Source organism: Homo sapiens, chromosome 12 (genome assembly GCF_000001405.40).
Source record: "Homo sapiens chromosome 12, GRCh38.p14 Primary Assembly".
Classification (NCBI taxonomy): domain Eukaryota; kingdom Metazoa; phylum Chordata; class Mammalia; order Primates; family Hominidae; genus Homo; species Homo sapiens.
The window spans coordinates 65,513,200-65,528,143 of NC_000012.12; the positions used below are offsets into that span (position 1 = coordinate 65,513,200).

At 42.7% G+C, this 14,944-nt stretch overlaps 1 long non-coding RNA gene across 3 annotated transcripts in view; it reads right to left on the reverse strand.

Moving 5' to 3' along the window:
* MSRB3-AS1 (MSRB3 antisense RNA 1) overlaps positions 1–14,944 on the reverse strand; it is a 175,556-nt gene that overhangs the window by 46,383 nt on the left and 114,229 nt on the right. The gene's annotated exons all lie outside the window — the stretch shown is intronic.

The window sequence follows — 14,944 nt, forward strand, 5'->3', positions numbered from 1 at the left end:
TCATCTGCTGAGATCTTAACCCCTAGTATCTCACATTGTGGCTGTATTTGTAATTGCCTTTAAAAAGGTAATTAAGTTAAAGTAAGGGCTTAGGGCTCATTAGGGTGGGTTCTAATCCAGTGTGACTAGTGTCCTTATGAGGAGTAGGAATTTGGACACAGAGGCATAGACAGAGGGAAGAGAGTGTGAAGAGAGAAGATGTCCATCCATAAGCCAAAAACAGTCCTGGAACAGATCCTTCCCTTCGGAAGGAACCAACCTTGCCAACATCTTGAACTCAGATTTCCAGCTTCCAGAACTGTGTGAAATAAATTTCGGTTGTTTGGGTCACTTGGTTGGTTGTACTTTGTTATGGCAATTCCAGCAAACTATTACAGGGTTCCTCCATCTCCCCTTATTGTGGATGGGATCTGGCCCAACTCTGCTCAGAAACTTAACACAGAGTGGTGAGCAGGGAAAGATGGCATTTTTCTTTCCCAGAGAACTGGATATTAACCTTTGACTACAGGAGAGGGAGCAGGAGTTGTGAGGCCTGAGGAAAAACAGAAAGTGGAGCTTACCAGTGAGGACTTGGTCATGCAAGATGCAGGAGAATTCACTAAAGAACGCAAGTCCCTGATGTCTCAAAACAAAAATGGGAAAGATACGTTTTTGCCCCCCTGATTTGAATGCTCAGATGCTGTTGGAGAGGAGGACAAGTTGTTCTGCAGAACTAAAAACAGAGATGCATCATCTGATAAGGCTCACAGTAGACGGCTTGCACAGCAGTCCAACAGGAAGAAAAAATGAGGAGCGGGACATGCTTAGGGACTAGAACCTAAACAGCAACTCATACAAAGCCTTTGCTTTGTCCCCTGAGGAAACTGACATGGGAATTCATGAGAAAGGACAGAGCGATCCCTCAAACTCCCATCTTGACGTTGCTGAAAAGGAAGGCTTCACTGGCCCTGGGTCAGAACCAAGAAACATGAGCAGTTTTAACTTGTAGGGTGTGATGTGACAGTCCAGTCACTTTCCCAGGGGCAAATCAAGTCACACTGTGACAGATACTACATTATAACAAGTCATGTCTGTTGAGGAGCTAACCCATGTCTGAGGCAGGGGCTGCAATATCTTAATGCCCAGACCAACTCCCTAAAGTAAAACATTCCATGAATTTGTCTTATTCACTCCAGTATCTTTTGACGCTGAGGGGTAGTTTCCTGCTAAAGCATTTTCTTTTTCATTTTTATGTAAGTAAGAGAAATGTGTGGGGTTGCTAAGGATAAATCTTCCCCACCCAAACATAAACATTTAATGCACATGCCTCATTTTAATGTACCTGGGGAGGAACCAAGGTGCCCAGTGTGCCCAGCATGACATTAGGCCTCTCTCCTTCAACTTAACTTGTGGAGCCCCCTTCTTGCCCCCACATGCCCAATGCATAGAGGACTAGGACAAGTAACAAACCACAAAAGATGAGAGAGAGTTAGGGTCTAAATTAAACAGCTAGCATCTCCACCCCCACCCAGGCAGGGGGAGGCAGCTCAGAGAGAATCCATACCCCCTGTGAGAAGCAGCAATGATAGAAGGAGAAGCCTCCGAGGAGTGCAAAGGGCAATGCTGGGGTCTCCAGGAGTAGCAAGGAGCTGCCCAGCTTCAGGAGTGACAATGGTAGAAGCCACAGCAGAATATAGGGGACGCCAGTGTCAGTTGCAGCTGCAGAATGATAGTCACTTCTCACGGAAATTTATTCCATATTGAGCACCTTCTATGTGCTAAGAGAGAATAAGTGAGTCATGAGCCCCAGGGAGTAGAGAGCCAAAAGGATCAGCCTTGAGAGCTGCCTGTGGTCTGTGGAGTTGAGTGACTGGCCGTGCCCACCTGAACTAGCCTAGGGAAGCGCTATTCTTCTTCTCTTCCTCTCTTAACCATGTCTTTTCCTCTAACCTTCAGGAACATTTTCAGGTAGCAAAAGCCCTAGCTTGTATTTCCAATCCTGTTTCTGGAGTAGCAGAAGTGGGCATTTCCATTTCGGTATCTTGCTGGCATTGTAGACTCCTCATTTTCCCCAGCCACTTCTTCTCCTCATCCCTTCCCTCCACAGAAAAAAAAACCCAAATCATCTCCCTAACATAACACTGTTCTTCACTTCAAAGCTTCTGTCTTCTTTGATTCTTCCCTCTTCTTTTCAGCCTAATCAACTTTCATGTTATTTTCAACTGCCTTTGTAAGGTGCATGGAATATATGTTTTCCTTCTCATTCCAGCTGTCCATCACTGTCCCTTCCATTATCAGCCCTCAAATCCACTACTGTAAGTCTCCTAACTGGCCTTCTTACTTCCCTGAAAATTGTTCCTCTGGTCTTTAAACTTTCCTCCATGATTCCCACTGGCAAATTCCCTTTGAAAGGGTAGCCCCAATGCCACCACCTCCTCCATGAATCCTTCATAATATGCCCAGTGGGAATATGCACTCTCTCTCTTCTGAAATCATACAACCAAGATTTCTCTTAATTTGTGCACATGAAGATGCACACCAGGCTTAGATTATGTCCTCTGTTCTCTATACAGATCTATCTCACATCTTACTTGACTTCACCTAGATAACCTATAGGCACCTCCAATCAGCATGTCCAAAAGAGAACTCTTGATTTTCCCCTCTCAAAACTTGATAATCTACCAGTCTTTCCCATTTTGTAAATGGCAGCACCATCCTATTTGTCGAATTAAAAACTGTAGATTTATCATTGATTCTTCTCTGTTACAACCATCCTCTATGCTCTTTCCACAACCCACTACCCCCCATTAAGAAGTAAAGTCTATCTTCCATCTGCTAAAATCTGGACTGACCTGTAATTGCTTTGACCAACAGAATATAGCAAAAGATACATTGTACCAATTCTGTGCCTTTCCTTTAAGAGGACTGGCAGCTTCTACTTCCTGGATCACTCAATCTTGGATGCGTCTAGGAATCCAGCATAAAATATGTGCTGATTTTACCACCTTCCCATCACTTCTGCTGCAGTCCTAGTGCAAACTAATGTCTTGTAGAATTATTACAATTGCCTCATAAAGGATCTCCCTCTTAAAGTGGTTTATAGAAAATGTAAATCAGATCATGTCATTTACGTGCTTAACACTATCCAATGGCTTCTCAATACGCTTAGAATACAGTCCAAATTCTTTACTCTGTCCTACAAGCTTCTTTGTTCTGGCCCCTGCCACACCCCTGACTTTGTTTCCTACTACTTTCTTCTGTGCTTAGCCTGCTACTTTGCCCATTCCTTGAATACATCATACATGCTCAGGACCTTGGCTCTTCTTCCTCCTGTCTGGGACACTCTTTCCTGAATCTTTGCAGGACTAATCTTTTCTCTTCATTCATATCCTAATTCATGTCACCTTCCCCGAGAGGCCTTCCCTGACCATCCATTACAGAATAGTACCCTTGTTCACCTCACCTTACCTGCTTAGTTTTCTTTAGAACATTCAACACTGGAAGAAATTCTCAACTAATTCGCTTCGTTGTTTTTGTCTCCTCTCACCTTGAACATGAGCTCTATAAAAGCAGGAAACTTGTCTGTTCCGCTAACAAACTTTTACCATAAATGGCTCTTGAAAATTATGCCACCTTTGGTGTCCAGCCTCCAAATTAGTCCACAAAGAGTCTTTCCTTGCATAGTCTGTTCCCACGCTGAACAGGGATGTCACCAATATGATATCTCAGAAATGATGAAAAAACTTGCGAGGCTGGGTCATAAAAGACTTTGTGACGCTTGCCTTGTTTTTACACATGACTCACTTTGGGAAAAGCCAGCTGCCATGCTGTAAGGACACTCAAGCTGTCTATGGAGAAGTCGATTTGTTGAGGACCTGAGGCCTTCTGTCAGCATTCAGTATCAACTCGGCAGTCATATGAACGTGACATTTTGGAAATGGGTCCTCAATCTCTAGTTGAGCCTTTATGACTGCAGGCCCAACTTGGCATCAAAGATAAATGCAATATAGTCCCTGACCTCAAGCTGCTCAAAATTTAGGGAGAGAGAAGTTGGGGGTGAGGGAAGAGTTAAATGATTTCATAGAAGAGGAAAGGGAGCATGGTGATGGGAATGATTTGACTCCACCACAGGAAAGAGGGATTAGAGGAAGCATCCAGTGGAAGGGATGCTTGGGTTACAGCCTGAAGAACAAATGTTAGTTATTAATGAATGTTGGTTGACATTGCCTCCAAGACACTGTTGGCTTCGGCTCTGGAATTGTTCTTGAGATTGAATTATCTTTTTTCACGGATGGAATGTTCAAATTAATGAGAAAAAAGAATGAATGAAGACTTGAGCACTGACCCCAAAGCTGGGAAGAATTCATTCCGCATGCATCCTAGATTACTTCAAAGAAAATGAACAGAAAGGATTATCAATAGTACTTACTTCTTGAGTTTTGTCCTTTTCCTTTATAACTTTGCTAAAGCAATATTCTGTTAAGGCCTCTCAAAGGTATAGGAGACTGTCAGTTGGTTGTTATAACTGAAATGGAAGGGCCAGAAGCATTTTAGAGGTATCCAAGTGCATAAGGTACAACTATCAGGTAATGAGTTGGAATTTTAACAGTCCTGAGCACATACATCTTAATGAGCATGGTCCCCCAGGGAGGAGTTCAGCCCCTTATTCCAATGATTTTGACATTACTGAAAACATTCTGAGAATGCATGTCTCTCTGGAAATTGTCTTCAAACCTCTAGTACATTCTTTTGAATTGCCTTGATGATGGTAAATCGTAGTCCTTTAAGTCTGCATTCTTATGTGCAGCAAGTAATTTTCCAGGCTATACCAGCCTGAGGGAATAGTCAAATAATAAGACAATGACATAAGTCCATTACTTCCAGCTCAGCTCCACCAGCTGGTTTGCTGGAATTCTGACCTACCTCATTCTGCCTCCAGGTGTATGTTTGGGGAGTGGGGAGCAACATTGGGAAGGAGAGAAGGCAGATTTGAGTTTTTTTGTTTTTAACAAATGGGCTTATTTAAATTTATGTATTAATTTTTCTTCATAACTATTCCATTTTCTGGCAGTCAGTTTCAGTCCATTCAGTGGGACCCTTGCTGTATCAAGGTGGTACTTTCTGGAGACAACCCATGTGGTAGTTTGTCTTCAAAGCAGGCTGGCGTCAATTTCTTCCCTCCCTCTATGCTCTTTCCACTGCCCCCCGCCCCACCCCAATTAAGAAGTGAAGTCTATCTTCCATCTGCTAAAATCTGGGCTGACCTGTGATAGTTTTGACCAATAGAATATAGCAAAAGGGACAATTCTTTGCCTTTCCTTTAAGAGGACTAGCAGCTTCTACTTCCTATATCTTGGATCACTCAATCTTGATACTTCTCCTAGGAACCCAGCCACCGAACTATGAAAAACTTAAGACATGGCAAGGGGCCAGAAGGAAGCCCTCCAGTTGACAGCCCCCAGCTGAACTTACAGCCAACAGCCTGTATCAGTTGTAGCCATGTGAATGAGCCATTTTGCATGCCCAGTCCGTTGAGCTGTCAGATAACTCCAGCATGAGAGAACCCAAGTAAGAGCCACCCAGTTGAGTCTAGTAGGCCTCTCAAAACATGAGAAATAATATATGGCTGTTTTAAGCCACTAAGTTTTGGAGTAGTTTGTGATGTAAGGATAGAAGACCAAAACACCCTATACCCTGTTCTACCAGCCCTGTGCCTGCATGGTTGAGTCACTGGTGCTGCCACCACTGACATGCCTCCAAGCAGCCCCTTTGGTATGTAACTGTTACTAGGCACTGAAGCTTGGCCTTTGGAACAGCCTATCCATCTAACCACCAGCCAGAAATGACAATCCTACCATTCTTTCTTTCTTTATTCTCTCTCCAGCTAAACCTCACCCAGCAGGAGGCAGTCAATTAATTTGTTCTTAGCATTAAGTGAGACTACATTTTACCACAGGCCCAAGGGGACAGAGACTTCAGTACTCTTCCTTTTCATCTGTCTGTACCACATTTCCCACTAGCTCTATCTTCTCTCTTCCCTTTCTGGCCAGCCAATTATCCCAGAGTTTGTCCAGATGATTCAACTTAATTTTTAAAAGCTAGCACAGTGCTGCAAAAAAATCCCCGTTCGCTTGTTTCATGTATCCACCAGGAATTTGTTTAGATGCCTGTTTTATGCTAGGTACTGTACTAGGTGCTAGGGAGATAAATACCTCAATTCTTTGAAACTTTCAAAAATCTAAAAATACGTACGGATGTGCTAAAATGAAAAACAGAAGAGAAAGCTTCTGCAGCAAATGGAAACACTAAAAAGCCAAAAGGAGCTGCGTCTCAGAAGAGAGATGAGTGACAAAGCTGTAGAATCCTGTTGAGTCAAAAAAGGTGTCATTCAGGGAGGGGGAGCAACACACACTGGGGCCTGTGGGGGGCAGGCAGTGGGGGATGGGGAAGAGAGAGCATCAAGATAAATAGCTAATGCATAAGGGGCTTAATACCTAGGTGATGGGTTGATCTGTGCAACAAACCACCATGGTGCACATTTATCTACGTAACCAACCTGCACGTCCTACATATGTATCCCGGAACTTAAAATTAAATTAAAAAATAAAAAATAAAATAGGGGTAATAACAGGACCTACTTCATTGGGTTGTAATGAGGTTTAAATGAGTTGATTCATGTAAGACAATTAGAAGAGTGCTTGGTACATAGTAAATGCTCAATAAATGTTGGCTATTACTTTTGCATTCTCAAAGTATCTTAGGAAAATGAAGATTCTACTAGTTTTTGCTTTAATTTCCCTGAAAATATTTTTTATTTTCTTCAAAAAAAAAAAAAAAAAAAACAAAGTGCCATTTATACAGCAATGTGACTGGTTTCCCTTTGAGGCTTACATGCAAGTCCTGAGGGCAATTTCAAAAGAGGTTGTATGGCCAACATGTTTTGAATGATAGTAACATGGTTGGAAATAGTGGAGCCTCCTGGGATGCCGTTGAAAGGAACTATCCTCTCTGGCATGTGAACAGTGTTTGACCGGCTACGAATAAAAATCAATTATGCCAGTATCTCCCTCAAAGATGGTGAGAATCAGGAGTGCTGAAATCATGCATGCATGTGTGACTTAGTTCTGGTGGACCCGCCAAGGGATCGGAAATGTCTACACTGTTGCTGCTTTTCTAATTTTAGGTAAGACTCCAAGGAGGCGGGCACTGCAGAGATGGAGATTCCTCCTTTGGTTTCGCCACACTCAGAGTCGGAGTGGGGGCTCTTATTTTCCAGAGCTTTGTTCCTCAGCTTTTTCCTCATCAAGTCACCATCCCCTTCCACCAGCTTCCCAACAGCAATAGCTTCCCAACCTCTCTCCTTCTTTCTGCATTTGTCCAACTCCCACCAGTTTATTCTCCACCCAGCAGCCAGAGGGACTCCCTTAAAATGAAAATCAATTCACATTGTTTCTCCACTGGGAACCCTCCAGTGGTTCGCCACTTCTCTCTCAATAAAAGCCAAAGTCTTTACAATGGCCCAAAATAAGGGGCTCTAAGGCCTGCCCCCAGCCCAACCACTTCTCTGGCCTTCTTCCCCTGCAATTCCCTGAGATGCTCATAACTGCAGGCACAGTGATCCCCTGCCTATCCCCTGCCTGTTCCTTGCATAGGCTTCACAGTGCTGTGCCCTGTGCTCTGCACCCACTTCAGTCAAGCTATGTGACTCACTCCCAGGCCTCCTGAGTCTCTGCGCAAATATCATCTTACCTAGGAGGGTTTTGCTCTCCATCCTTTAACAACAGCAAATCCTTACCCCTTCTTAGCACTTTGTATCCTTCTCCCCTTGCTCTATGTTTCTCCAGAGCACTCAAAATCACACACTTACCTGATTTTTTTGTTGTTGTTCACTGTCTCCCCCATCTAGAATGCTAGCTCTAAAAGACAGGTACTTTTTGTTTGCTCACTACTCTATCTCCAGCATTCACAATAGTGCCTGGCACAGAGTAAGCACTCAACTATTTATTAAATGAATAAATTACATAGCTACTGCCAATGGCAGGGAAGAGGGAAATCATAACCATACAGAGCAGCTTCAGAACCTGAATGGCCAACCTGCCAGGTAATTTTTGGCAGTCTCATGTTTTATCTTAAAGACTTTTATATTCTATTGCATTATAAAATCTGTTAGATAGAAAAAATAATCTTGAAGTAAAATTGATATTCCAAAATGATGAGTCTGTTTTCCCACTGCTATAAAGAAATACCTGAGACTGGGTAATTTATAAAGAAAAGATATTTAATTGGCTCACGGTTCTGCAGGCTGTACAGGAAACATGATGCTGATAGCTGTTTGGCTTCTGGGAAGGCCTCAGGAAAATTATAATCACAGCAGAAGGTAAAGAGAGAGCCAGCACTTCACATGGCCAGAGCAAGAGCAAAAGAGAGACTGGGGAGGTGCCACACACTTTTAAATAACCAGATCTCATGAGAACTCACTATCGGGACGACAGCACCAAGGAGAGATGGTGTTAAACTATGAGAAACCACCCACATGATCCAATCACCTCCCACCAGCATTGGGGATTATATTTCAATATGAGAGTTGAGTGGGGACACAGATACAAACCATATCAAGATATATGATGTCTGTCACTCTTTCATGAAATAATGACATTTTGAATTCATGATCAATGATACTTACCCATTTATGAAAGAATGGTGTTTTATTGAGCATCTGTGAAATGCCAAGCCCAGTGCAGAATACTGAGATCTTCTGTGGCTTTATAATCCTCCTGACCCCACGTGCCCTCAACAAGCCTGTGTCTTGCAGTTAGCAAAGCTGGGAATTTAATGGAGCATTCATGACATCTCCCGCAAATGCTGATAATAATAATTTTATTAAGTAATAATGACCACTTGTTGGGGGTTTACTGTGTGTTCTAGCTTTCTATTGCTGCATAACAAACCACTCCAAAACTCAGTGACATGAAACTACACTAAGTGGGTAAGAAATTTGGGCATGGCACTACAGGGACAGCTTCACAATTCTTGTCCCTGCTCCACATTGACTGGGGCCTCAGCTGGGTGACTCGAATGTCTGGAGATGGCTGGGATGGCTTCCTTAGGGCCATGTCCCTGGGGTCTTGGTTCTGGATGTTCCCTGGGCTCCTTGATTCTTCTGCAAGGTATATCTTCTGGAAATGAAATGAACGTTCTTCCTTCATATGCCCGGTGCTGGGCTGGAAGAGCTGGAAAAGCCAGGCTCCTTTCTTTCTCCACACTGCCTGTCCATGTGGCTAACTGGGGCTTCTCCAGCACAGCGGTCTCTGGGTAGCTGGACTTCTCACGTGGCAGCTGACTTCCTCAGAATGAGGGCTCCAATCGACTGGGCAGAAGCTGGAAGGTTTCTTATGGCCTAACCTTGGCTGTCTCAGAATATCAATTGCACCACATCTACATATCAGGCAAGTCATCAAGACGAGTCCATAATCAAAGAGAGAGGAATAAGACTTTACCCCTCAATGAAAAAGGCGAAAAAGAATTGGTGACCATCTTTATTCTACCATATTGTACTGAGCACTTTTCTTGCAGCATGGCTTTTTATCTTATGACAGCCCTATGAAGTATGTACAATGACTATTTCCATTTTATGGTAAAGAAATTGAGGCCTTGAGAGAAAAATAACTTCTCTCCAAACCCATAGTTAGCAATTGGTGGAGCCAGTAAGGAAATCAAATTTAATTTCCTTGAATTTTTAAAGCAAAATAGATAGCATTCTGCCTCTTTAGAATGGCTTCAGGGCAGACAGGGAAAAGTGAGTGGAGGTGGGAGGTGGGAATTGGGTTCTTACGGTAAGTCCTTGTAACCGCTCATAAGGAAGGACCTCGTCAAAGCACTGGCTACATAATAAGCCCATCTTTGAGCTTGGACCAGAGAGAGGGTTGGGGCCTCTGGAGAAGAATGTCGGCAGCTATAAAATAAAGCAGCTGTGCCTCAGGGTATATGTGAACCACAGCTGGTAACCCCAGACTGGGATATTGATTTCTTCAGGGCAAATGAAAGAGAACATGTATGCCAAATTGTTTTTTTGTTTTTTTTTTTAACCTAAGAAAAATAGTGGCAAGTCTCTGCAACGACCCTAACAATCCCACATTCATGAAGTGGCTCAAACCAGCAGGACTCGTGTTTGGAATGGAAAGACTGGAGCTGAGGAAAAGGAAAGTGGAATTTCTCTTTGGAGTTTTGAAATCTCTCCTTAGCTTATGACTTTGAGTTGCTTGAAAGGCTTGAAGGAATTTCCACACTTAGCACGCTTCCCATGGCTGCCGGCCGCCTGGCTCCAAAGCACACTTTGTGAGTTTTTAGTGTGTTCCCATTCCTCAGCATTATAATAGATGCTGTCACTAGAGCTGGATCCTGGCCGTGTAAGGCAGGTCACCCCAAAAGTCTGACCAGGGCCCTGTTTCCTGACTGAATGCTTGGTTGATGGTATCTTGTCTGATTCATATCCTATTGGAAACGGTGTGAAACAGGGCCTGGAAGTAGATCTGGTTTGAATCAATCTGGCCTACACAGACTTGCTTGACAGGCAACAGAGGCTGGACTGCTGGTTTTAAAAGAGAAATCCTAGTTTTAGAGAAGCTTTTTTCTTTTCCTTCAAAAGACTGAGAAACTTACCAATTTCTTACGACTAACACAGTGCTGCACAAACATGCAATGCTTTAATAATTTCCTCTTTTGTTGTTTGACATATGCATTCACCAAATATTCATTTAGATGCCTGTTTTATGCCAGGTACTATGCTAGTACCTGTTAGGAAGACAATCCTGAGCAAAATAGACTTCATTCCTGCCCTCATGAAGATTACAGTCTAGTGGGGAAAACAGAAATTGAACAAATCCCAAAACTAATATAAATAAGTGCATGTAAATGAGAGATATAGGGTTCTAAGAGGGACTACATACAATAGGGGGCCTCACTTAGATTGAGGAGCTCAGGATGCAAGGAAGAGACATTGAAACAGAGGCCTGGTAGATAGATAGGAAATATGCAAGCAAAGAGCTGGGGGTAACTGTCTTCTGGACAGAGGGAACAGCAGGGGTGAGGCAAAGTGGGTTCAGGTGGGGCTCAAGAGACAGGGAGAGCCCAGATCATGCAGGACCTGATGGCCAAGAGCAAGATTTTGTGTTTTGAATTCTCCCTCCAATCAGTTTTGTTTAAAGCACTTTCTACTAGTGTCAACTGGATTGGATGCAACACACTATCATTGAGCGAATTATTAGGTTGGTGCAAAAGTTATTGTGGTTTTTGCCATTAATGGGTTGCACCAGCCTTATAGATCCTGAAACAGCCAATTCAGAGCAAGACTGCTGGCATTCTCCACTGAAGAGCTGGATTGGGGGTGGGGCCAATATTAAAGCACTAGCTTGGGAGAAAGATGGAATTTAAAAGTCCATATATTATCCTATTTATTATTTTCATTGCCATTCTCCATTTATATTTCCTTTCAATCAAAAATTACTGAGAACATCTTATATGCAAAATGCCTTGAAAGATTCAAAGAGTTCTGGGACACATCCTTTCTCTCCAGGAACTTATGTCTTAGCGGAAAAGCCAGCTCTGTGAATCACCCTACAAAACCACAGACTTATGCAGCAAAATGGACAGCATCTGAAATATCATCTGGTCCAGGTTCACAGACATATTCTCCAGGGTCACAGAGCTCTAGAGTAATTGTCTTTTAATTTTGTGGTTTTCATTTTGATTATAATCTAAAACGTATTTTACTGGTTATAAAGGAGAAAAAAAGATCCTCTTGTTTGCACTAATGATTTACAATTGAGAGACATTTCTTGGCAAAAGTTCCTCAAGTCACTGTTTGTCCAACTAGGATCCATGGAGCCTTCAGTGCCCACAGATGTATTTTCAGGAGTCTATGAAAATTATTCTTCTCTTGAAATGTGTCCTTAGATCACCAAGTTTGAGAAACTAACCTATTCCAACACGTCATTATCACAGACTTTTTTTTTGTTGTAAAGACCAAGGCCTAGGATGGGTAAGAATAAAATTCCTAAAATATTTTAGATTCCTTATGTTAATTAGAAATCATCGTTTTCAATCTTCTTTTGCATTCTTTATCTCATTGCTTTCTTGTAAATATCCATGACCCACACAAGATAGACAGTATTATTATCCTCATCAAAGAGATAAAGAAATTGAGATTCATAGCTGTTAAGTAACTTGCCCAAGTTCAACTAATAATGGTAAATGCAAACAGTGGTGTTGGAATGAAAATAATCTACTTTCCAGGCCAGTAGTCATCCCATTGTTCTAACCTTCTAGAATTAAGGGCAACAGATGTAACACATTAAAATCTGCAACCTCTGTTCCAAGCGTGTGTTTTGGTTTTATTTTACCAATTAGACAAAAGTTCCTCACTTGGTCATAGTCATCCCATGATATCTTAATGATTTCCTCTGCTTAGCTTTGGTGGTTTTAAAATGTCTACAAATTCTTTGATTGCTCCCATGACGTAGGTCTATGTACCCTCCCCTTGAATCTGGCTGACTAATAGCATGTGGTAGGGGTGACTCTATGTGAATTTTGAGTTTGAGTCATAAAAGGTGATCCAGCTTCCACCTGGTCCTCATGAGATGCTCCCTCTTGGACCCCAGCCACTAAGCTATGAGGAAGCCCTGGCCACATGGAAAGGCCATGTGTAGGTACTCAGCTGACACCCCCAGTTGGGGTCTCAGTCAATAGCCAGCATCAACCCAAGACTTATGAGTGAAATGGTTTTGAGATGACTCCAGCTTTAGCAGCCATTGAACTGCATGAGTAAGCCTGCGTGAGAACCATCTAGCTGAGCCTAGAACCTAGAGAGACAGTGTAACAACTTTTAAACCACCAAGCTTTGGGCTGATTTGTTAGGCAGCAACAATGACTGGAATGCTGGCTGGGCACCTTGCATTGGGTGATTTCATCAGTGTTTCTCCCAAAAGGCATCATGGTCTGCACTGTACTAGGAGCTTTCGGCTTGAAGAGAGATATATGGCCTCCCTAGAGGGGACCAGAGGCTGTGCACAATTATGGCTTGATTGTCCCTAACATTTCTGTTCCTCTGACTTATATGTTCTCTTTTTTTATCAGAAAACACTGCTTTTGACTGCAGCTCAGTGTTGCTTCTGTAAACAGGGTATCAGCTCAGCCTAAGGTAAAAATACCATGCTCCTGAGAGTTCCTTCTGATGAGATATCTCCCTTTGCTAATGCTGAAATAGGTTCCCTCCCAGATCTAGGAACTGGTGAGCCAGCTGCCCTGAAGGAACGGAGGGGCCAGGCAGCCAGAAGGAAAACCGCAGGGAGAAGATGTCTTCATCTCTGGCCCAGTCCCCAGCACAGATGTATTTGGGTTTTCTAAATGAATGAATGGACTCAAAGTAGCAAAAGATTCACCTGATCAAACTGAACTCATTTGTGACTCACTAGAGCATGAATGAATAATCAAGGTTCATACTCATTTATAAAGGAAAAATTCTCCCTCTCCTCACAAAAGGTGGAGAGTGTAGGGGAACAAAGTTACTTGGAATTGGAATAAGTCAATGAGTGAGCAGAAGACTTTCAAAATGAAATACTTAACAGAGAAAGAGAATAAACCTAATTAGACTGAATTAAGCCTATAGTCATTAAAATGTCATGTCACTTAAAAGTGAGAGCTAAAATGTTGTTATGAAAGGGTTGCATGTTGTCTGCAGAGATCTCGCTTACAGAAAGCAGGGGTACCGCCTGCATCATTGTAGGTATCAGGAAAGCCTCACCCAATGAGCTACTGCAAATGGCCACACAGGCTGAGCACCATACACCTCCAGTGGGCACCATTCACAAAAGCCAGGAGCTTCTCCAGAATTTAAAAGCTAATTTAAAAGAATTCATCCCTAACAAGCATCTATTACATTCACAGTTTTTATTGGTAGGGATTTGAGGACAGCATCAAGAAGTGATCTGATTGGGAAGATGGTCACACAGGTTAATAATAAGTGTTATGGGAGCAAAGCGCACATCTAATTCTACCAAAGGAAGTGTAGGAAAGTACACCAAAGATGTGGCTTTTCAGTGGAACTTGCCAGGAAGAGGAGTGTGGGAAGAGCCTTCTGGATATAAGCAGCACGGCGTGCAAGGTGTCCTGAGTGTAGAGGAGCAAGGCATGTCTGTGGGGAGGACTAGTGGGTAATGAACCAGAAGACTTAAGCAGAGACTTGACTGTAAAGGATCTTGGGATGCTAAGGAGTTTGGCCCTGACCTTCCAGATGTATTCTCTATCAATAGGGGAGAAATTGGTAAGCCCAGAGAAAGCAGCCATAAACATGCTCCATATAGCATGGAGCCTGAGAGCCATGAGGTAGACCAGTCCTTCCCCTCTGTCTTGTTGAGGCCTAAAAGGTAGGAGATGTTTGTACATGCAGAAGCCTTTAACCACGGTAATGTGGATTGTCCCATAAAGACAAGTTTCCTAATACCTTGTATCCCATAGTCAGTAAGATCAGGAGCAGGAATAAACCAAAGGCCTCAGAGGCTGAGGTGTATTTGTGTGTGGTAGTAGTTGTTGGTTTTGTAGGCAGGCAGGAGGGAACATTCTGGGCCATTAGAGGCTTAAAGATATTTGACAGTCTGGTCAAGTGTCTCTGATGGCTAATTGAACTTGGCCCAACCCAGGGAATGCAGAAGCCCTCTTCACCTACTACACAGTTTTGCAATGGGCTCACCCAACCCAAGATTTTTAAACACATACTTTGGGACATCTTTGAAGACAAGACAAGTACACTTTTGTAAGAATAATACTAATCTCAATAATAAAAATAATATCAGTGTTATTAAATGTTGTGTCCTTCCAAAATTCATATACTGGAAGAAGGTTTAATCTCAAATGTGGCTGTATTTAGAGATGGGAACTTTAAGGAAATAATTATGACTAAATGAAGTCATAA